Genomic DNA, 23,912 nt, shown 5'->3' on the forward strand with positions numbered 1-23,912 from the left:
TCTATTGTTCCCATCTTTATGCCCCATTTACCCAAGGTTTAGCTCCCCCTGTAAATGAGAACACAGTATTTGTTTTTCTGTTTCTACAATAATTCGTTTAAGTTATTGGCTTCCAGCTGCATTCATATTGCTGCAAAGGACATGATTTTGCTCCTTTTTTATGGCTGCATAGTATTCCATGGTGTGTATGTACCACATTTTCTTTATCCAATCTGCTGCTGATGGGTACCTACATTGTGTTGTAGGAATCCTTTTCTAAGGTTGCAGCACTGGAGAATTGCTGTAATAAAGACTAGGAATTGAATGAAAATCTGCCCACATGGGCCCTTTCTTCTGTGACACCTCCCCTCACAGTTTTTTATCTTTTATCTTCATCCAACCACTACAATGGCTCCAGGGCAAGCCTATCCTTCAGCTGTTAGTGGCTGGATTGGAAAGATGATCTCAAAATAGGCAAAAGTTCAGTGATCTTGGGTCCCAGAGAGAAGTCAGCAGATACTCATAAATACTATCTAAGGCTTCCTCTTAATCCTCACCCTCCAGAACCACAGAGGGCCCTGGCTTCCCCAGACCAACACCTGTGCTCCCTCATCCTGCACCACTGGGAATATGGAGGTGCAGTTTCACAATAAAAACTCTCCACTTTTTATGTAATTTATTTTCCTAAATATGGAGATTGGGTACCCTAAAAAGTTGAATATTAAAATTCAAAAAGAAAATTTAATTTAGCCATTATCTGTAAGCTCTTGCTCTACACTACCCATCATGTCAGATACTGGGGACAAAAACAGACCATCACATGTCCTTGAAATACTCATAGGTTTCCCTCTGGGAGGAGGTTGCACCATGGTTAGTCAAAAAAACTACTGTACGCTTCTCAGTAAACATTTTCCCCCAGAGCTGCTGAGCAGTGGCAAATGTCTAATGCTGTTTCACAAGATGTGCTGTGGCCCAATCAAGAATGAATTCTTTCAAAAAGAGAATTTTATGGTCCACAGGGAATGGTCCTTCCCTGTGCAACACAGAAAATGTAGGTAGTGGCAAAGAGCCACAGAAGGCAGATAGCCAGGCAGAGAATGAGCCTTGGGTTAGAGTCTACAGGACCAAGCAGAAAAGACAGAAGTCGTGGCCAGGGTGATAAGGAAAACAGGCTGACAGCATTTAACAGAATTGACAGGAGAGAACAAACCATAGAGTTGAGAGTTTCATCTAATAAAAGGCAGGTAGTTTTGTTGAATAGCTCTTTCTGCTTTTTGAAATTACCCTGTTCATTATTTGCTTATTATTTTTTATTCCCCATGCACCTACACACACACACAGACCTACTTACTATAGGGAGGGTTTTGAGAATACAATGAAGAACGCTGTCAGTGTTGTTCACCACTATATCCCCAGTTCATTAAACAATGTCTGGCACTGTTTGAAAACATTAAATGAATGAATTTACTATTTATGCTAAGTTACTGGGTAGGTCTTACCATTCCTAGTTAACATTTGAGGCCTCCAGGCATTAAATAACATGCCCAAGGCCACAGTCTAGCAAGCGGTGAAAACATTTGAACCCTGTTCTGATTCCACAGCCTATAATAATAACTATTACATCCACTAAAACAGTTAATGTGTAGTAAACACTATGATCCACGTTTCAGAGTTAGGCTTCAAACTTTCTCAACAAATCCTTTTGTTTTCATAAATCCTGTCAAATATAGATACCTTGGTGGACTCCATTCAATCCTTAAAAAGATAAGATTTTTGAACTCAGCAGGGTCAAAAGAAGTTAAGCAGTGTATTACAGAATGTTGTCTTGTGGAAGCTTCTTTTGTTTTTTCTGGAATACCGATAAAGAAAGTGGGCTAGGAAGATTATAAAGGTGAGTTGGGGCCTTAAACAATGGGCAATCATATACCAGGCAGAGAAGGGGGAATGAGAGAAATCTCAGGCAGAGAGAAGAAAATAAAGGGATCAATGTACATGGCTGTGGCCTAGTCAGGGAATATGGCATGTTGGGAGTTTGGAAAGGTGACAAAAGGCTTAGAATGCTACAAAGATAGAAAGGGTATTTTATACCTTACTAAAGAATTCTTCCATTTTTTTCATTCTTTCAGACACTTTATTTCTGCAGAGAAGGATAACATCAAATTTAGAATATAAATCAGGAGAGAACACAAAAGATACAGATTTTATATATTTTAGAACATTTGACAGAAATGTAGTTGGAATTCCATTGTTTTTCTTATACCATAATCTTTCTGTTGTGATGCCCTAAAATTCACCCTGTGATTTCATATCATGTCTTCTTAATATTGTGCCAGAAACCATAACATGTCTGACAATTAAAATATTAAGGAAATGGGCTGGCCATGGTAGCTCATGCCTGTAATCTTAGCACTTTCAGAGGCAGAGGCAGGCAGATCACTAGAGGCCAGGAATTCAAGACCAGCCTGACCAAAATGGCAAAATCCCATCTCTACTAGAAAATACAAAAGTTAACCAGGTGTGGTGGCATGTGCCTGTAATCTCAGCTGCTTGGGAGGCTGAGGCACAAGAATCGCTTGAATCCAGGAAGCAGAGGCTGCAGTGAGCCGAGATCGCACCACTGCACTCCAGCCTTGGTGATAGAGCAAGATTCTGTCTCCAGAAAAAAAAAAAAAAAGCAATATTAATGAAATAAAAATGAAATGAACCCTCTTTGTTAACAGAGGAATTACTTAATGGAGTGAAATCCTGATTCCACTCAATGCAATAAACATTTGCTAAGCTACTATTCTTCTATGTGACTATTTTTTCTGTGATTGTAAATGTAAAAACTTAAAGACAGAATTAAAAAAATCATAGAATGTAAGAGTTAGAATGGCCCTTAAATCAGGTTACCAGTCCACCCACTCCTCTAACATTGGGTGATCATTCAGCATACACTTCATACCCATGGGCACAGAGGTTCCTCAAGAAGTTCACCAGCTAGTAAATGGGATACCACATTTTAAAGGGTTTTTTAACATGAACTTTCATATTCTGCAACATATGACCTTGTTAAAAGCTCTGTCCAGGATGCAGGCAAGATATCTGCATTTTAAGAATAAGAAAGTAAAGCTCCAGTAAGGCTCAAACTTGACAAGGATTACACGGTCAATTTACACCAAGGACGGAACTCTCTTGTAGCTTGCTGCTTCCCTTCTTGCTCTTGATAATTGTCCTAGTCCAACTGGGCTGCTATGACAAAAATACTATTGGCTTACTTAAAAAATAAGCATTGATTTCTTGCAGTTCCAGACACTGGAAGTCCTAGATCGAAGTGCTAGGAGATTTACTGTCTAGTGAGGACCCACTTTCCGGTTCCATGGACCACTGTTTTCTCACTGTGTCCTCACATGGTGGAAGGGGCAAGGAAGGTCTTCCAGGTCACTTTTATACAAGCACTAATCCCATTCATGAAGGCTCCACAGGAAGAAAGAAGATGGGGGTAGAAGGAGGAAGACAAGAGGGAGAAGGAGGTGCGTAAAGAGAAAATAACTGAAGACTTTTAAAAGGAAATAGGATTACTAGACAAGTATAAGAGAATTAGTAATGGTTAAATACTGTATCTCCTTGTTCTCACACTACATTCTACTCTCAGTCTATACCCTTATACTACTGAGTCCTAGGAGAACTTAATGTGAATTTTCTCTAATTTTTAACTTTAATTTTTCACTAATTTCATAGTGAGGAGATTTGGAACATACAGAAAAGAAAGGTCATACCAGAAAAAAAAATGTAGCGCTTTCACTTCCAATTGGTTCTTAATTTTGTCTCAGGACTTGCCTTGAATTCTTTTCTCTTCCCTGGATAATTCTGGAACACTTAGTAATGGTTAGCTATTATATTCCTTATACCTATTTCTACATTCTACTCTTATTTCTACATTCTTTCCATCTAAAATCTAAAGAAACTTAAACAGAAATTTGTTCTCTTCTAAATGCTCAATTCATTACAAATGCTTGGAAACACGGAGATGAGATCAAATCAGATGAAAATTTATAGAGATTTTGCTTCAAGCTGAGTATTTGGCTTAGATACAAACTACTACCTTGAAACTTTCCACCGAAGAGTCACCCCACAGTTCTCATTTCTATGCTCAAGTAGCCAATGTCCTCACTCCTTGACATTACATAAACCCCTGACATGCCTCTGAAATTTTCTCCCATAAAGGTTGACTGTGTAATCCTAATTCTATCCCATGTGTGATGGTTAATTTTATGTATCAACTCGTCTGGACTAAGGGATGCCCAGATAACTGGTAAAACATGATTTCTGGGTGTGTCTGTGAGGATGTCTCTGGAGGAGGGTAGCATTTGAATCAGTAAACCAATTAAAGAAGACTGCCCTCACCAAATGGGTAGGCATAATGCAATCCTGTGGAGGATGTGAATAGAACCAAAAGGCAAAGCAAGTGCTACGTTTTGTTTGTCCCCACAAAAACTCATGTTGAAGTCTGATCCCTGATGTGGCCGTGTTGGGAGGAGGGACCTAGCAGGAGGTGTCAGGGTTACGGAGGCAGATCCCTCATGAATGGCTTGGTGTCATTCTTGCAGTAGTGAGTGAGTTCTCTCTCTCATGAGACTGAATTAGTTCCCTCAGTAATGGATCAGTTCCCTCGAGGCTGGGTTGCTATAAAGCCAGGACACCCCTCGGATTTTGCTTCTTCACACATGTCCACTTCCACTTTGACTTTCCACCATGTTGTGACACAGCAGGAAAGCCCTCCCCAGGAGTCCAGCAGATGCCAGCACCACGCTTCTTAAACTTCCCAGCCTGCGGAACTGTGAGCTAAATAAATGTCTTTTCTTTATAAATTACCCTGTCTCAGATATTCCACTATAGCAACACTAAATGGACTAAGACAGGAAATGAAAAGGAATTTCACCTGCAGAATAGGAGACTTTACAAAGACTGATACCCTGAATGAGCGAGGATGTGGAGAAGCAAGCACTGTCAGTCAAAAGAGTGAAAATGGGTCTAAGGTTTCCGAAAGGCAATACGTATCCCAGTTTAAAATGTGTGTTACCTTCAGACTCAGCAATGTCCACTCCTCAAAATTTATCTTACGAAAGTAACTGGACCAGAATGAGAAAATGAATACAAAGGACATCCATTGCAATTTCACTTACAATCGTTTTTAAACTATCAATAAAGTAAAAGGTGATTTAAAAAGAATTGGTAACATATACTATGACACAAACATATAACAGAATATGATGCAGTTACGTAAAAATGGTGATACAGCAGCAATTCTCAAGCTTTTTGATCTCAGGATCCCTTTACAATCTTAAAAATCATTGAGCACTCCAAAGAGCTTTTGTATATTGTAGGGACCATGGAGTTGTACCACTGAGATCTCCCTTCAAAGGCACCTACTGTGAGGAACACAGTTGACTTCCACTCTCTAGCCTCTAACCCTGGCATCTGCTGATGCACTGCAGCAAGGTCGTCCCTTTCCTGGGCTGCTTCCAGCCAATGATTGGACATGGTGGGGAACTCCAACTGGGCCATTTCTGGGACAATCAGCACAAAGTACCAAAAGTTGGTTCCTTCAAAGTATGAATAAAATACACAAAACTTTGGCAAGATTGAAGGGGAGAAAAGGATAGATATGAGGAATGAAATAGAGAACCTACCTACAGATTCAGTCAGAAGTGTTATAAAATCATCGGTGAGTATTATGAACCTTGGACAGAACAGGCAGTTTCAAAAAAAATTGTAACTTACTAAATCTGACTCTAGAAGAAACAGTAAACTGAAGAGGCCTATAACTACCAAAGACATTAAAAGAGAAGTGAAATATAACTATATAACAGTTGTTGGCCCTCATAGTAACCTAATCACTTTCCCTCTTTGGATAAGAGAATGCCAGTGTCAGGGAACGCTTCAACAGGGTTGGAGAAGTTCCACATATCTCCACCCTACTAAAGGGGCAGAAGTTCAGGGGCACAGTTAAGATGACTCAGAGAAAATGAAATTGCTCAGTCGCAGGTCAAGTCAACCCTTCAGATCAATTTATGTACCTAGGGCATTAACCTAGGAATGTCTTAAACAATGGAATGCCGCCATTCCTTCTCAACAGGAAGTGGGGGAAACACGCGATTGGTTTTCAAACAGTTTTCAAACAGTAGACAATACACATAGCTGCTGTAACAAAGCAGCTTCGAAAGAGATCGAATGTGTGCGCCTTTATACAAAACTTGGGACCCACTGAAGTCTGACAGCTAAAACGGATTACATGTCTGCAAGGTATTAAAACAGAAAACAAAGAACCTGGGATGGATTCAGGACAAAAGTGTCTTAAAAATTTAACAGTGCCCGTGGGCCAGAGTGTCCACAACACTCATTTTATCTGGACAAATACCAGTAGACTTTCGTATTATGACCCACTTCTGTTACCGGGGTCGCCGGTCGCGGCCCCACGCCCGAGTTTCTGAAGCCACCGGAGCGCTGGGCGCCACAGTTCCTCCTTCCTCTCCTGGCAACGCCTCAAGCCGCCGCCCTCCTCGGTCCTCGCAGTGTCCCCAGCGCCCGCAGCCCTCCCTACGCTCAGGCGGCGCCCCGGCGGCGACCCACCTCCTCGGCGTCCTGGCCCAGAGGGATGCCCAGGTTCCTGAGCCCCTCCTGCAGCTCGCCGATGTCCACCACTCCGTCCCCATTGCGGTCCAGTGCCTGGAAGAGGGTCTCGTAGCGCGTCGGCTGCTCCGCGTCCTGGCAGGCCGCGGTGGGCAGCACGAAGTCCCGCAGCCAGCGCAACATGGTCCCAGAGGCGCAGGCGGCCTGGCCGAGGAAGTCACGGGAGATCGAGGGCTGCGGGGCGAGACCGGGACCAGCGCGAGGCCGGGCTGGGCGGGGCGCGCGGCGCAACAGCGTTTGGGGCGCCGTCGGGGTTGCGGCTGCGGCGCGCAGGGCGCAGGGCGCAGGAGCGGAGACCCCACCCGAGCCCGCGCGGAGCGCAGGGTGTGGCCGTCCCGCCGCTGCTGGGGAGGAGCTCGCCGCGCTGGCCTCGGCGGCACTGGCCGGGCCCGCCTCCAGAGAGCCGGAAGTGAGGGAGCTGGGAGCTGGGTCTCGGGAGGTGCTGTGCGGACCCGGGGTCGACCTCTGCCCAGTTGCCAGTCCCGCTGTCAGCATGCGGGTCCGAGGAAGAGGCCCCCAGCAGGTCCAGGGCTGCAGCGTCAGCGCGTCGGTGGCTTGGGAGCGGGGTCTTGAAGACTGGTTACTCCACTTAAAGACCCTCTCGGGCCGGAGCCTTGGCGGTCAGCCCAGAGCTGCTTCTCTCTGCCTGGAAACTGGGCCATGGAGGGCATTGTCTCTCACGGATGTCTAATTTTTTCGTGGTTGCACACCTGGGATGGCGATTCTGCTTTAAAAAGCAGAGAGTTAAATCCTAAAGCATCTATTGGAGCAATTATAAAACAAAAAGGAGAAACTCCTGGATTTGTTGCAGAAAAGATCAACAGCCATCTGCGTGGGCAACGGGGAAAAGAAGGACTAGTTTGGTAGGCAGCTTAGCTAGGATTTGCCCGTGATTAAGCGTATAGAGTGTCTGCCAGCTGCACTTATCAGAAAAAACCACAGCGCCCTCCTCCTTCTCAAGATGGGTGCAGTTCCGAGGTTTGGAGCTTATTACTCAGGCAAGACAGAACTTATTACTGCCTAGCATGGAATAACGGAAGGAACATTGGACTTAACAGAGAAAGTACCTAATCCTTCAGGTGTGACATAGCGTCTCCGGGTAGTCTCTCATCAGTAAAATGAGAATATAAATATCTGCCTTCACAACAAAGTTGTATATTAGGTGTGAAAGGTCTTAATTCTCTAAGGCGCCAATCAAATGAGATATCATTAATTGTAATAATCCTGTTCATTCACAGCTGCGTAAGAGGAACTATTGTTGTACTGCTGTTTGCAGAAAAGAAGATACCTCTGTACTTGTAAATTAGGGTGTCTCACATCTTCTGAATCACTACACAGAAATCAGTTCCAACAACAGCCAGGAACTCAGACCCTGAACTTACCTCTCCTCATATCATTTTGTATGTTTAAGATATGTATGAATCTAGAATTTGTAAATTAAGGGCTGCCTGCTTAGTAAAATCATCTTGAAACTGATTTATCTTTTTATATTACTTCCAACTTCCAGTCTTATTAAGAATCATTGCCTTCCTTTGGAACTGCCTTCAAACTTCAAATTTTCTCTGTCCTTGAAAACCTCTTTTAATCTCTACTCTGAATACTCTGTACTTGAAGAGAGGTTGCTTGAACTAGTCATCTTACACTTACATGCTTTCATTTTACTTTTTATTTATTTCTTTTTTTTTTTTTTTTTTCTTTGAGACAGTCTAGCTCTGTCGCCCAGGCTGGAATGCAGTGGCACAATCTCAACTCACTGCAACCTCCGCCTCCTGGGTTCAAGCTATTCTCCTGCCTCAGCCTCCTGAGTAGCTGGGGCTACAGGCTATTTTACTTTTTTAAAAAAGTAATACTTAGAAAAATTACCTGTCAGCGTTTTTGCTGAGAAAATTATCTTCACACCAAAACTTTTACTTGAGGGTTTATAGCAGTTCTATTCATAACTGTCAAGCGCAGAAACAAAATGTTCTTTAACGGGTGAACTGGTAAACAACCTGTGTTGCATTCATACAGTGAGATAGTAATTAGCAATAAAAAGGAATGAATTACTGATACCTGTCAACAATGACATTCTGGAAAAGGCAAAACTATAGGGACAGAAAACAAATCAGTAGTTACCAGTTGTGACTAGCGGGAAGGGAATTGATGACAAAAGAGCATCAGAAGGCTTGTGGGGGTGATGGAGCTATTTTACATCTTGCTTTTGGTGGTAGTGGTTACACAACTGCATGTGTGTGCCAGCAGAACTGCACACTAACATGGGTTAATTTACTCTGGGATATCAATAAATCTGACTTAAGCATGAGTAAAATGGAATAAAAATTCTCAAAAGATCAGTGTGAACATCAAAACAGTTTATGAATAGTTATGAAGTATGGGCCACACACCAGCAGCATTGGTGTCACATCAGTGTTACTGTGAAAATCAAAGCGTTTATGAAGTGTGGGCCACAGACCAGCAGCATCAGTGTCACTTGGGAGCTTGTCAGAAATAATCTCAGGCCTGCCCAAGCCCACTAAGTAAGAATTGCACTTATACAAGAACCCTGGATGAGCATTTCATAAAGTTTGAAAAGCACAGCTAGTATGAAGCAAACCACTCGAAGTGCAACCTGTTACCTGTCTGCAATGAGTCAGACATTGAGAGGAAGGATTTAGAAACTTTATAGCAATTTGATAAAGTAATTTTGTTATATCTAATAATAAAACTCAGAGCTTGTCTTTTTAATTTCAATTTTCTAGTATTGCATTTTTACTGTATTTTACGACACTATGTCTGCAAGGAATCGAGATAACACCATGAAGATAAAAGGTGTAATTAACACTAGCAACTTCCTGCATAAGAGAAGAAACCTTTACATGGACATTTACACATCTGGACGAAAGAAGGCACCCCTGCTTAATTCTACTGGCAATTCCCAAAGACCAGTGGTTCCTAGAGGGCAGTAGTAGAAACCCAGAATTCACACTTCCTTAATTCATTTCCTTGGTCAGAACAGAAGTCTAGGGTTCAGCCCAATTTAGCTACTTCTATTGTCCCCAACTTCTGGCCTTCTAATGTACTACCATTTTCCACTGGAATAACCTTCAGACTTGACCAGTTTCAGTCCTTGAAGACCTCTTTCAGCACCTACTTTGGAATCTTTTCATAATCATTCTGGATTTGGCTAGTTTTAGTTGATAAACACATTTCTTCTTTCTATCCACTGAATCACTTACTTATTGTGTAGTGCTAATAAGACCAAAGAATCTGCCTCTCCACAAGGAACAATTCTATTTCAAAATCCTTCAAGAATATTCAGAAAGGAAAAAAAGATCCTGGTCATTGCTCCCTCAAATTTGAGTAATCACAGCTTAGGCTCTGTAAGAGAATTTGATTGGTTCAGTGTAAAGCCATAACCATTACTGGAAGGATAATTTTTTTTCATTGTACTTTAAGTTCTGGGATACATGTGCAGAATGTGCAGGTTTGTTACATAGGTATAAATGTGCCATGGTGGTTTGCTGCACCCATCAACCCATCACCTACATTAGGTATGTCTCCTAATGCTATCCCTCCCCTCCCCACTCCCTCCCCTCCCCACCCCCAACAGGCCCCGGCATGTGATGTTCTCCTCCCTGTGTCCATGTGTTCTCATTGTTCAACTCCCACTTATGACTGAGAACATGCGGTGTTTGGTTTTCTGTTCCTGTGTTAGTTTGCTGAGAATGATGGCTTTCAGCATCATCCATGTCACTACAAAGGACATGAACTCATCCTTTTTTATGGCTGCATACTATTCCATGGTATATATGTGCCACATTTTCTTTATCCATTCTATCACTGATGGGCATTTGGGTTGGGTCCAAGTCTTTGCTGTTGTGAATAGTGGTGCAATAAACGTGCATGTGAATGATTTATAATCCTTTGGATATATACACCCAGTAATGGGATTGCTGGGTCAAATGGTATTTCTGGTTCTAGATCCTTGAGGAATCACCACACTGTCTTCCACAACGGTTGAACTAATTTACATTCCCACCACCAGTGTAAAAGCGTTCCTATTTCTCCACATCCTCTCCAGCATCTGTTGTTTCCTGACTTTTTAATGTTCACCAATCTGAGTGGTGTGAGATGGTATCTCATTGTGGTTTTGATTTGCATTTCTCTAATGAACAGTGATGATGAGATTTTCTTCGTATGTTTCTTGGTTGCATAAATGTCTTCTTTTGAGAAGTATCTATTCATATCCTTTGCCCAGTTTTTGATGGGGTTGTTTGTTTTTTTCTTGTAGATTTGTTTAAGTTCCTTGTAGATTCTGGATATTAGCCCTTTGTCAGATGGATAGATTGTAAAAATTTTCTCCCATTCTGTATGTTGCCTGGTCACTCTGATGATAGTTTCTTTTTCTGTGCAGAAGCTCTTTAGTTTAATTAGATCCCATTTGTCAATTTTGGCTTGTGTCACAATTGCTTTTGGTGTTTTAGTCATGAAGCCTTTGCCCATGCCTATGTCCTGAATGGTATTGCCTAGGTTTTCTTCTAGGGTTTTTATGGTTTTAGGTCTTATGTTTAAGTCTTTAATCCATCTTGAATTAATTTTTGTATAAGGTGTAAGGAAGGGGTCCTGTTTCAGTTTTCTGCATATGGCTAGCCAGTTTTCCCAACACCATCTATTAAATGGGGAATCCTTTCCCCATTGCTTGTTTTTATCAGGCTTGTCAAAGCTCAGATGGTTGTAGATGTGTGGCATTATTTCTGTGGACTCTGTTCTGTTCCATTGGTCTATATCTCTGTTTTGGTACCAGTGCCATGCTGTTTTGGTTACTGTAGCCTTGTAGTGTAGTTAAAAGTCAGGTAAAGTGATGCCTCCAGCTTTTCTCTTTTTACTTAAGATTTTCTTGGCTATACGGGCTCTTTTTTGGTTCCATATCAAATTTAAAATAGTTTTTTCTAATTCTGTGAAGAAAGTCAATGGTAGCTTGATGGGATTAGCATTGAATCTATAAATTACTTTGGGCAGTATGGCCATTTTCATGATATTGATTCTTCCTATCCATGAGCATGGAATGTTTTTCCATTTGTTTGTGTTGTCTCTTATTTCCTTGGCATTGGTGTAATTCTCCTTGAAGATATCTTTCACATCCCTTGTAAGTTGTATTCCTAGGTTTTTTATTCTGTTGGTAGCAGTTGTGAATGGGAGTTCACTCATGATTTGTCTCTCTGTTTCTTATTGGTGTATAGAAATGCTAGTGATTTTTGCACATTGATTTTGTACCCTGAGACTTTGCTTGAAGTTGCTTATCAGCTTAAGGAGTTTTTGGGCTGAGACAATGGGGTTTTCTAAATATACAATCATGTCATCTGCAAACAGAGATAATTTGACTTCCCCTCTTCCTATTTGAATATCCTTTATTTCTTTCTTTTGCCTGATTGCCCTGGCCAGAACTTCCAATACTATGTTGAATAGGAGTGGTGAGAAAGGGCATCCTTGTCTTGTGCCAGTTGTCAAAGGGAATGCTTTCAGCTTTTGCCCATTCAGTATGATATTGGCTGTGGGTTTCTCATAAATAGCTCTTATTATTTTGAGATACGTTTCATCAGTACCTAGTTTATTGAGAGTTTTTAGCATGAATCGGCTGTTGAATTTTATCAAAGGCCTTTTCTGCATCTATTGAAATAATCATGTGGCTTTTGTCATTGGTTCTGTTTATGTGATGAATTACGTTTATTGATTTCTGTATGTGGAACCAGCCTTGCATCCCAGGGATGAAGCCAACTTGATCATGGTGGATAAGCTTTTTGATTTGCTGCTGGATTCAGTTTGCCAATATTTTATTGAGGATTTTTTCATCGAAGTTCATCAGGGATATTGACCTGAAATTTTCTTTCTGTGTTGTGTCTCTGCCAGGTTTTGGTATCAGTATGATGCTGGCCTCATAAAATGAGTTAGAGAAGAGTCTCTTTTTTTCCATTGTTTGGAATAGTTTCTGAAGGAATGGTACCAGTTCCTCCTTCTACCTCTGGTAGAGTTTGGCTGTGAATCCATCTGGTTCTGTGCTATTTTTTTTTTTTAGTTTGTAGGCTATTAATTATTGCCTCAATTTCAGAACTTGTTATTGGTAGTATTCAGGGAATCGACTTCTTCCTGGCTTAGTCTTGGGAGAGAGTATGTGTCCAGGAATTTACCCATTTCTTCTAGATTTTCTAGTTTATTTGCATAGAGGTGTTTATAGTATTCTCTTAAGGTAGTTTGTATTTCTGTGGGATCAGTGGTAATGTCCCCTTTATCATTTTTATTGTGTCTATTTGATCCTTCTCTCTTTTCTTCTTTTTTAGTCTGGCTAGCAGTCTATTTTGTTAATCTTCTCAAAAAACCAGCTCCTGGATTCATTGATTTTTTTAAGGGTTTTTCGTGTCTCTATCTCCTTCAGTCCTGCTCTGATCTTAGTTATTTCTTGTCTTCTGTTAGCGTTTGAATTTTTTTGCTGTTGCTTCTCTGGTTTTTTTAATTGTGAAGTTAGGGTGTTGATTTTAGATCTTTCCCACTTTCTCATGGGGGCATTTAGTGCTTTAAATTTCCCTCTACACACTGCTTTAGCTGTGTCCCAGATATTCTGGTATGTTGTGTCTTTGTTCCCATTGGTTTCAAAGTGTTATTTATTTCTACCTCAATTTTGTTATTTACCCAATAGTCATTCAGGAGCAGGTTGGTCAGTTTCCATGTAGTTGTAAGGTTTTGAATGAGTTTCTTAATCCTGAGTTTCAATTTGCACTGTGGTCTGAGAGACTGTTTTTTATGATTTTCGTTCTTTTGCATTTGGCGAGGAGTCTTTTACTTCCAATTGTGTGGCCAATTTTAGAATAAGTGCTATGTGGTGCTGAGAAGAATGTATATTCTGTTGATTTGGGGTGGAGAGTTCCGTAGATGTTTATTAGGTCTGCTTGGTCCAGAGCTGAGATCAAGTCCTAAATATCCTTGTTAATTTTCGGTCTCATTGATCAATCTAGTATTAACAGTGGGATGTTAAAGTCTCCCACTATTATTGTGTGGGAGTCTGAGTCTTTTTGTAGGTCTCTAAGAAGTTGCTTTATGAATCTGGGTGCTTCTGTGTTCAGTGCATATGTATTTAGGATAGTTAGTGCTTCTTGTTGCATCGATCCCTTTACCATTATGTAATGCCCTTCTTTGTCTTTTTTGATCTTTGTTGGTTTAAAGTTTGTTTTATCAGAGACTGGGATTGCAACCTCTGCTTTTTTTTTTTTTTTTTCTTTTGCTTTCAATTTTCTTGGTAAATATTCCTCCATCCCATTATTTTGAGCGGATGTGTGTCTTTGCACATGAGAAGAGTCTCCTGAAAACTGCACACTGATGGGTCTTGAATCTTTATCCAATTTGTCATTGTGTCTTTTAATTGGGGCATTTAGCCCATTTACATTTAAAGTTAATATTGTTATTTGTGAATTTGATCCTCTCATTGTGATGCTAGCTGGTTATTTTGCACGTTATTTGATGCAGTTTCTTCATAGTGTCAATGGTCTTTACATTTTGGTATGTTTTTGCAGTGGCTGGTACCAGTTTTTCCTTTCCATATTTAGTGATTCCTTCAGGAGCTCTTGTAAGACAAGCCTGCTGGTGACAAAATCCTTCAGCATTTGCTTGTCTGTAAAGGATTTTATTTCTCCTTTGCTTATGAAGCTTAGTTTGGCTGGATATGAAATTCTGGGTTGAAAATTCTTTTCTGTAAGAATGCTGAATATTGGCCCCCACATTCTTCTGGCTTGTGGGGTATCTGCAGAGAGATCCGCTGTTAGTCTGATGGGCTTCCCTTTGTGGGTAACCTGACCTTTCTCTTTCGCTGCCCATAACATTTTTTCCTTCATTTCAACCTTGGTGATCTGACAATTATGTGTCTTGGGGTTGCTTTTCTCAAGGAGTGTCTTAGTGGTATTCTCTTTATTTCCTGAATTTGAATGTTGGCCTGTCTTGCTAGTTTTGGAAAGTTCTTCTGGATAATATCCTGAAGTGTGTTTTCCAAATGGTTCCATTCTCTTCATCACTTTCAGGTACACCAATCAAATGTAGGTTTGGTCTTTTCACATAGTCCCATATTTTTTGGAGGTTTTGTTCATTTCATTCTTTTTTCTCTAATCTTGTGTTCATGCTTTATTTAATTAAGTTGATCTTCAATCTCTGATATCCTTTCTTCCACTTGATCTATTCAGCTATTGATACTTGTGTATGCTTCATGAAGTTCTCATGCTGTGTTTTTCAGCTCCATCAGGTCATTTATGTTCTTCTCTAAACTGGTTATTCTAGTTAGCAGTTCCTGTAACCTTTTATCATGGTTCTTAGCTTCCTTACATTGGGTTAGAACATGCTCCTTCTGCTCAGAGGAGTTTGTTATTACCCACCTTCTGAAGCCTACTTCTGTCAATTCATCAAACTCATTCTCCATACAGTTTTGTTCCCTTGCTGGCGAGGAGTTGTGATCCTTTGCAGGAGAAGAGGCATTCTGGTTTTTCAAATTTTCAGCATTTTTGTGCTGGTTTTTCCTCATCTTCATGAATTTATCTACCTTTGATCTTTGATGTTGGTGACCTTTGGATGGTGGTGACCTTTGGATGGTGTTTTTGCATGGGCTTCCTTTTTGTTGATGTTGATGTTATTGCTTTCTGTTTGTTAGTTTGCCTTCTAACAGTCAGGCGCCTCTTCTGCAGGTTTGCTGGAGTTTGCTGTAGGTCCATTCCAGAGCCTGTTTGCCTGGGTATCCCCAGCAGAGGCTGCAGAACAACAAAGATTGCTGCCTGCTCCTTCCTCTGAAAGTTTCGTCCCAGAGGGGCACCTGCCAGATGCCAGCAGGAACTCTTCTCTATGAGGTGTCTGTCAACCCCTGGTGGGAGGTGTCTCCCCGTTAGGAGGCTTGGGGGCCAGGGACTCACTTGAGGAGACAGTCTGTTCCTTAGCAGAGCCCCAGCGCTGTGCCGGGAGATCCGCTGCTCTCTTTAGAGCTGGCAGGCAGGAATGTTTAAGTCTGCTGAAGCTGCACCCACAGCAGCCCCTTCCCCCAAGTGCTCTGTCCCAGGGAGATGGGAGTTTTATCTATAAGCCCTTGACTGGGGCTCCTGCCTTTCTTTCAGAGATGCCCTGCCCAGAGAGGAGTAATCTAGAAAGGCAGTCTGGCTACAGCTGCTTTGCGGCACTCTGGTGGGCTCCGCCCCGTTCAAACTGCCTGGGGGCTCTGTTTACACTGTGAGGGGAAAACCGCCTACTCAAGCCCCAGTAATGGCCGATACCCCTCCCTGCACCAAGCTCGAGTTCCAAGTTGGCTTCAGAGTACTGAGCTTGCAGTGAGAATTTCAAGCCAGTGGTTCTTAGCTTGCTAGGCTGCTTGGAAGTGGGATCTGCTGAGTAAGATCACTGGCTCCCTGGCTTCAGCCCCCTTTCCAGGGAAGGAAACAGTTCTGTCTCATTAGTGTTCCAGGCCCCACTGGGTTACGAAAATAAACTCCTGCAGCTAGCTTGGTGCTTGCCCAAATGGTCGCCCAGTTTTGTGCTTCAAACCCAGGCTCTGGTGGTGTAGGCACCCCAGGGAATCTCCTGATCTGTGGGTTTTGAAGACCGTGGGAAAAGCGTAGTATCAGGGCCAGACAGCACCGTCCCTCAGGGCACAATCCCTCAAGGCTTCCCTTGGCTAGGTGAGGGAGTTCCCCCGCCCCTGGCACTTCCTGGGTAAAGCGACACACCACCGTGCTTCTGCTAGCCCTCCGTGTGCTGCACACACTGTCTAACCAGTCCCAGTGAGATGAGCCGGATACCTCAGTTGGTAATTCAGAAATCACCCACCTTCTGTGTTGGTCTCTCTGGGAGCTACAGACCAGAGCTGTTCCTATTCAGCCATCTTGCCCCACAAAAGATCTCTGGGAGGATAATTTTATTGTGCAATAAATTTTGAATTTGGGTGTCCTACTAGTCTTTAGTGAAACAATCATTTTAAGTTTTTGGCTCACTTACATCACATTAAGCTAATTGGAAATTTCATCAGGTTTTCCAAGTCATTTAGGAGATGGAATTCGAAGTAAAACAAATTCCATCTCTTGCTCTGCCTATCTCCTAACCCCATTCCATCCTCCAAAATAAATGCAAACAATTCTCAATCATAAAAATATGGCTCTTAGTTACCAGAAAATTGCCATCCTCACTAAAATATGTAAATACTTCTCATTTCAAAATAGTTGTGTTAAATTCAAACTGCCTTAAAAACCACATACCTCAGTATTTTGAAATGATTAAAAAGACTATATTAAGACTGTTTCTAGATTTTCAGAATTTATTTAAATTAAAAGAATACTTTGTACTTCCAAGAATCAATAATCATGGAACTTGAATTGATATTTTACACTTATTTTTTATATGTAAAGCCCTCACCTCCCTCCTTTCCCTCCTTCCTTCCTTCCTTCCTCCTTCCTTCCTCATCAGATTAAAGTCATCAGGCAGGCTAGAATGAGGAAAGCTGCACAACCAGAGTCAGAACTCAGGAAGGAAGGTGCTGAGAAGGGCAATAGCCTAATGAGGCTGAGGGATTGGTTATACACAAGGAGACTAAGCAAATAAATATGTTGAGGATAATGAGAGCTAAGTCAGAGAAGTGAGTTACAAATATGAAAAGAGTTAAGCTAGAATGAACCCTATAGTGTTGGATTATAATTAGTAGTAGTGGTGTGAGTTCATGGTTTTAAATATTTTTAGATATAGAAATATAAAGGGATGTGTGTGTGTGTAATATGCGTGTATGTATGTATGTACACACGTACATACATATATTTTCTACCTCTGTCCACTGACAGGGCCTAGTAGCAATGAGAACATACAGTACCCAGATCTTTCTTTCTAAATATCACTCTCTGAAAGAAACTAGGGGACCTTGGAGAAATAGCTGATTGCAGGGTAGGGACAACAAAGGTCCAAAATAAGCACAGAACATCTCATTTCACCAGAGAGTAAGTGCTCAAAGAACGGAGTAGTGTCAAAAGGACACAGAGTCAGCTTGAAGGGGCTCTCCCTGGAAAACCCTAAGACAATTTGGGCATCAAAATACATAGTGTTAGCAGATTAGATCACATTAGATGAAACAGGAATCCATCAATCCACATGGATGTCATACCAAGGAGACAACAGAAATTCCTTCTCTAAAGTTGAATGCCAACTAATAAATGTTAATGGAATGATGGAATTAGGATATCACCGTCTGGTGATCATCATGGTAAAAGTAATTAATTCAGGCAAGAAATATCAAAAAATGCTAGCACTCAGTGTGTAAGAGTTGGATAAGAAATGTGATATTTACCTTGTTTCAAACTGTGTCTCAATAAAATATTGTATATTACAAATGGAACAAAGAATTTATAGTGAAGAAGCTTAGCAAATACTAGCTTATGCAAATGACCAAACTTAACGTCACCAGTAACAGGAAATAAGATCATGGGTCATGTGATAGAGATAACATCACTTCTGTGATAGTCCCAACAAAATGCATAACCTGAATCTCATCATGAGGAAACATCAGAGAAAACAAAATTGAGGATATTCTACAGAATAGCCAGCCTGCAACCTTCAAATACATAAAGTCCAGAAAGATCAGGAATGACTGTATTGTTCTGAATTGAAGGAAACTAAAGAAATCTGACAAGTAAGTGTAATATGTGATCCCAAAGGATGTTGTTGGGACATTTGGTGTGAAACTTGGATGGAATCTCTGGGTGAACATATGTAGGCATTCCTTAAAGTGTGCTTGCAAATTTTTTGTCAATTAATTTCTTTTAACGTACAAACTTCTAACGCCCTTTAAAAAGCCCTCCCTAACTTCCTCAGATTGTACCACTCCTCAGGTTTGCCTGTGATATATTTTCCCTTGCAAACTGCCTCTGTGTGATCTATACAAAACCAACCTATAATACTGTATCAGATCAGCAGCGCAGTATAGCAAAAGCGGTCAAAGTGATGCTAGACTGATGGAATACCTGTCGTTGTTGCCTAGTTTCATGGCCATGAATGAAGCTACAGCAGATAATTTACCTTCCTGCAATCTCTCCACTTGTGATGCTGTCTCTGATGCTGCTAGCATCACGGAGAAGGGGTTAGAAAGCTGGCATGAAGAGGGCTGCAAAGGTGAGTGGAAGCAGTGATTATTCCATACCCACAAAGGTCGCTAAGGAAAAAGGGAATTGCATACTAGGTGCATAGCGTATGATCCATCCTTAACCCGAGAGAATCCCAAGTTAAGATTACGCTGGCATTCGTTCCAAAAATTCCCTCTAGAATACCTTCCTCCTGCTTATTTTGGGGCCAGATGTCTAAAAGAAAGGGTGAATGAAGAATAAACCAAATTCCCCTGATACCCACATTTCTTCCTACTTGTGTAGGAGACATTTCAAATAAGCACTGGCAAGATGCAATGTATGTAATGGGCACTGAGCATAATTGATGTTGTTTCTTATGTACTTTTATAATACATTCTACAAAAAAGTTCATAAAGACTCCAAACTTTCCCAGCTTTCATTTTAAGATATCATGAGCCAGGAGAAAAATTTGTTCTATTTGTTGGGTGGTACATGGGGATAACACCTCATTCATATGAAGATGGAATTCTCAACCCCGCACAGAGGCTGTGCACGGAAACTGTGATTTTTGGTCCTTATTCGGAGACATATTCAATTTTATTTAATATCTGGCTCTTGTCATATTTGCTTAATTGCTTTCCAGCAGAAGAGCAGATTCAAAGCAGGAAAACCTAAAGGGTAGCTGGGGAGTGGTCAGGAATGTGTGAGCCAGGCACAGTGACAGAAGAGACTAGTGGGTGGAGGAAGAGCTAACATCCAAGCTAGAATTTCATTACAATGCAAGGCAATCAGAAATATTAAAACAAACACAAGGAAAGCATAACTCCAAAAAAGGCTAATTATTATCTATATTCTTCGCTTGAGAAGACAGAGGAATTGCTACCATATTAATAAAAAGTTTACATAGAATTATTTAAAGAGAAGGCCAGTTACATGAATTATCTTATGTAAACTACTTCCCCCCACGCATCTTACATATATAAAGTTTTACAAGAAGAGATCCAAACACTGAAGAGTTCGGTACCATATTATAATAATGGTGATCAAAGTTCTAAGAAGAAAAGGGCTGTAAGTAAGATGGAAATAAAAGGACTAATCACAAGTGGTTCCGTAATAAAGTCTTTTGTGCTTTTAAAGTGCAAAGCAGGTGTGAATAGACATTTCTTCCCACATACTTTGTTCATTCGACTATTAAATATTTATTGAGTGTCTGCTATGTGCCGTACACAGATCTTCATATAGGGGATGCAGCAGTAAAGAAAACCAACAAAATTCTCAGTCTTCCTACAGCATATCATCTAGTCAGGGGATACAGGAAATAATTTTATCACACTTAAAGGGTTTTATAGCTAGAAGAAATTTGGGTCATATCAATAACAATTAACCTAAGAATCTCTAAAAATTGCTCCCCTAACATTCATTTTAACAGCTAACACACTCTGCAGAGAAAAATTTTAAATGCACATTTCTTATTTTAAAGTGTCTATTACTCATTTTTAAAGTAGAACTTTTTGCTATTTTCTTTCGTGCTTTTCTGCTAAATATACCCAAAAACTGAATGTCCTTTACATTAAAGTCTGACTGTATCTTCAAACTCATGACTACTTGTATCTTTGCAGTAATGTGGCTGTAAATGTATAATTGTAATAAGTTTCAAATAGTTTGAGAGCAATTGGATTTGCAGAGAGTTCATCTCTGTAGTGCATTTTCAAAATATTATTTTGAAAATTATATTTTGCTTCTGAAAGAAAGGCAACCACTAATGGAAAAACTTAATGTCTTAAGTAAGTGCTTAATTTGGAATACAGAAACCAGTATAATTTTAAAAAGAAAAATATTCTTTGTAGAAACTGTAAATTCTCCCATTATAACAGTGAACAGAGCTCCAGGTAATAATGCATAGGCATGTCAGGTTGCATCTGTATACTTGACTACATTAGTATTAGTGACATCAGGCGGATATATAAGAAAACCCTTGGAAAAAGAAGTGCCTTAGCCATGATTTCAGAGAGAAACCATTAGTAGACCTATTTATGATTCTATTACAGTTTTCAGATAGGATGTGAACATGGAATTTCATTGAAAATAGTTTAATTTTTTATATAAAAGGTTTTGTATATAATGTGTATCAGTGACTATTTTCAAAATCATTTTCATCAAGACACCTTTTTTCTAAAATGGGCATTGCCTACACACATGCACACACATGTACATGCACGCGCACACATTATTTTTTATAGTGTTGGGTTTGATTATTAAAGTGTTGTCAAATCTGTTTTATTTATCTGCATATAGCAGTGATTGGCTTTTTTGAATTGAAATGTTTGCACATTGATGCATTGAAATAAGGAAAATTATTTATCTCTGAGCACTAAACTTACTTTTGCATATTTCTGTAGTATTGCAATCCCCAGATCCAGATCGTGGGAAGTTAGGGAAAATGTGTGATTTTGTGTTTTGAATTACTGTCAGAATTACATACACAGTTACAACAAACTTTATTTAAAGGACATTTCATTATACTGTAAAAATCTCAATATTTATATTTCTTGTTTTTCTCTTTATATATTTTGCATTTTAATATGTTGAGCCACTGGAAATTTGTAACAGATTAATTTGTTATAGGAGATTAAATGTGTTGTCATTGTCTCCATTGTCTTTGTCCAGAGCCTATTATTATGGAAACAATAAAATTTATTGTGTCAAAAAAAAAAGAAAAAAGAAAAACGGCCACAATGTAATGTTGCTAACAGCTCAGTAGAGGGTGCTGTAACTTAAAGCTGAAGAATGGCTCTCGGATAGATTATGAAAGCTGAAAGGTGAATGCAGGCAGGAGGAGGTAAGAGGAAAGAAAAATAAGTGGATCTTTACTTTTTGAAAGTACATCACTGCAGTTATAGATCCTTGAAGTACACCAACAAATGATACAGAACTAAAATATGATTTTAAACCTGAGTGTAACACGTTTTTTGTTTTAAAAAATATTCTCTGTCCATATTCACTCACTGTGCACTACAATATAATGAAAAAACAACAAAAGAAATGTAATACATTTATCTTTTAAAATTATATTATATATTGCAAAATCGATTACATCAGCATCCTTCCACCAATAATAAAATTAAAGGTTCATATTGAGTCAGGACTTTTATGATTCCTGTGAATGATTTATCCATGACTCAGTAATCTATTTAAGCCTGAAGTGTATAATGTGACTTTAAGCTGCAAAAATGGACTGAGATGGTTAAAGTTAGTTTTCTTTTCTTTTCTTGCTTTATTTTATTGAGACGGGGTTGCCCAGGTTGAAGTGCAATGGCATAATCATGGCTCACTGCAGCCTCAAACTCCTGGGCTCAAGTGATCCTCCTGCCTCAGCCTCCCGAGTAGCTAGGACTACAGACGTACACCACGATGCTCAACTAATTTTTAATTTTTTTTGTAAACACTGGGTCTCACTATTTTGCCCCGTCTGATCTCAAACTCCTGGGTTCAAGGAATCCTCCCTCCTTGGGTTTCCAAACTGCCTGGATTACAGGCATAAGCCACCATGCCTGGCCTTATTTCTTAATTGTGGTAAAATGCACATAACATAATATTTACCGTCTTAACCGTTTTTAAGTGTACAGTTCAGTGGCATAAAGTACATTCAAACTAGTGCAACCAAACTCCAGAACTCTTCATCTTACAAAATGGAAACTTTGTACCCATTAAGAGTAACTTCTTATTCCTCCCTCCTGGAAGCCCCTGGCAACCACCATTCTACTCTATTTATGAATTTCACTACTCTAAGTACCTCATATAAGTAAATCATACATTGGTCCTTTTGTGACAGGCATATTTTATTTAGCATAATGTCCTCAAGTTTCATTCATTTGTAACATGTCAGAATTCCTTTCTTTTTAAAAGCGCAATCATATTCTATTGCATGTATATACCACATTTCTTATCCCCTCTTCATGACAGACACAAAGTTTGATGCAAGTATCATGGGTTTTGAGGACACAGCAAATATAATTAAGAAATGTCAGCTAACAGTTCTCACAATAAAGTGAAAGAGAAGCTGCTGCCTTGGGCAAGTTACTTGCTCAGAGTTTGTTGAAACAAAGAATATGTGAATTTTTCTCCTGTACCAGATGCGAGCTGTGCAAGACAGCCAGGGTGGGGTTGTCTTAGATTTTTTTCTGAAAGGGATTTCTGGAAGAAATACAGATTTCAGCAGGGGAAAAAATGTTGAGGCACCATCAGATGTCTAGCACCTGAAAAAGGAGACGTAAGTGACCAGCCAGGGGGAGAGTACATGATCCCCACTAAGCAACTACATGAGAGATCCATAGTAACAGGTGGGGTAGGGAGTCTCCACATAACTCACAAAACAGACCCATAAGAGAAAGAGAGGGCTTTAAAAGCTCTCAGGGCAGAGAACATAGGGCTACTCACAACTATATTAGTGTCAAGTAAGAACCTGCTAACTGCCCGCTTCCTCTCCTCGCTATCCTATTGTGACTCTGATGTGGTTAGCGAGCTAGAGAAGGAAGAATCCTAGACGGAGAAAAAAGAAAAAGGCAAACACATCCACTTTCTCCACTGCAGGCTTTTGGTCTGAGCTGGCCTGAGTGCAGGGAGAAGTTTTAGCTTGAAATTGAGGTTAAAGGTTTGATGACCACCCTGGGTCTAACATATGAATTCCTTTTTGGAAGAAGCTTTCATTAACTGGAAGTGGTAAGTTATAGGAGTTGCCCTTTCATCTAGAGCAAGGGAAGAATTTATCCCACAGAAGAAATTCAAAGTGACCCGGGGAATCACAGTTAAAATTGTCTATAATTGCATCTGCCAGTCATGCTTGTTTCCAGACTTAAAATATTCAGCTACAACTGTCTCCTAAACATGAAGATATTTAAGAGAAATGAACGGAGATAGCTGTTAAAGAAACATCCTAAATTCTAGATGCTTAACATGTATTATTCTTATTTAAGTCTTATAACATTTCCTCAAAGTTGGACTTAATACCTTTTTTTACGTATGTGAAAAGTGATTATCAGTGAGATTGAGTGACTTTCCCAAATGACAGAATCATGACTCATATCCCTGTTTGTCTGGTTCCAACCACCTTGTCCTTTCTAAATATCATCTTAGTTCACATTTCCTTCTCTTAGACATCTTCATCTT

The 23,912-nt window shown here is 40.2% G+C and overlaps 1 protein-coding gene across 1 annotated transcript in view, besides 3 other annotated features; it reads right to left on the bottom strand.

Moving 5' to 3' along the window:
* Positions 1 to 6,979, bottom strand: part of SLC25A24 (solute carrier family 25 member 24) — a 66,301-nt gene extending 59,322 nt beyond the window's left edge. Inside the window, exon 1 of the mRNA NM_013386.5 lies at positions 6,592 to 6,979. Within this exon, the coding sequence (NP_037518.3) occupies positions 6,592 to 6,774 (183 nt within the window). The 5' untranslated portion in view covers positions 6,775 to 6,979. The remainder of the gene's footprint in view (positions 1 to 6,591) is intronic.
* Positions 6,763 to 7,102: a silencer, noted in NCBI's record as "silent region_1133". NCBI's record gives its function as "represses an Ori minimal core promoter by ATAC-STARR-seq in GM12878 lymphoblastoid cells {active_cell/tissue: GM12878}" and the evidence as "EXISTENCE:reporter gene assay evidence [ECO:0000049][PMID:35858748]".
* Positions 6,763 to 7,197: a biological region, named in NCBI's record as "Sharpr-MPRA regulatory region 7876".
* Positions 6,903 to 7,197: an enhancer, noted in NCBI's record as "tiled region #7876; HepG2 Activating DNase unmatched - State 1:Tss, and K562 Activating DNase unmatched - State 1:Tss". NCBI's record gives its function as "activates a minimal TATA promoter and a strong SV40 promoter by Sharpr-MPRA in HepG2 and K562 cells {active_cell/tissue: HepG2 | K562}" and the evidence as "EXISTENCE:reporter gene assay evidence [ECO:0000049][PMID:27701403]".

Source organism: Homo sapiens, chromosome 1, assembly GCF_000001405.40.
Source record: "Homo sapiens chromosome 1, GRCh38.p14 Primary Assembly".
In the NCBI taxonomy this organism is placed as follows: domain Eukaryota; kingdom Metazoa; phylum Chordata; class Mammalia; order Primates; family Hominidae; genus Homo; species Homo sapiens.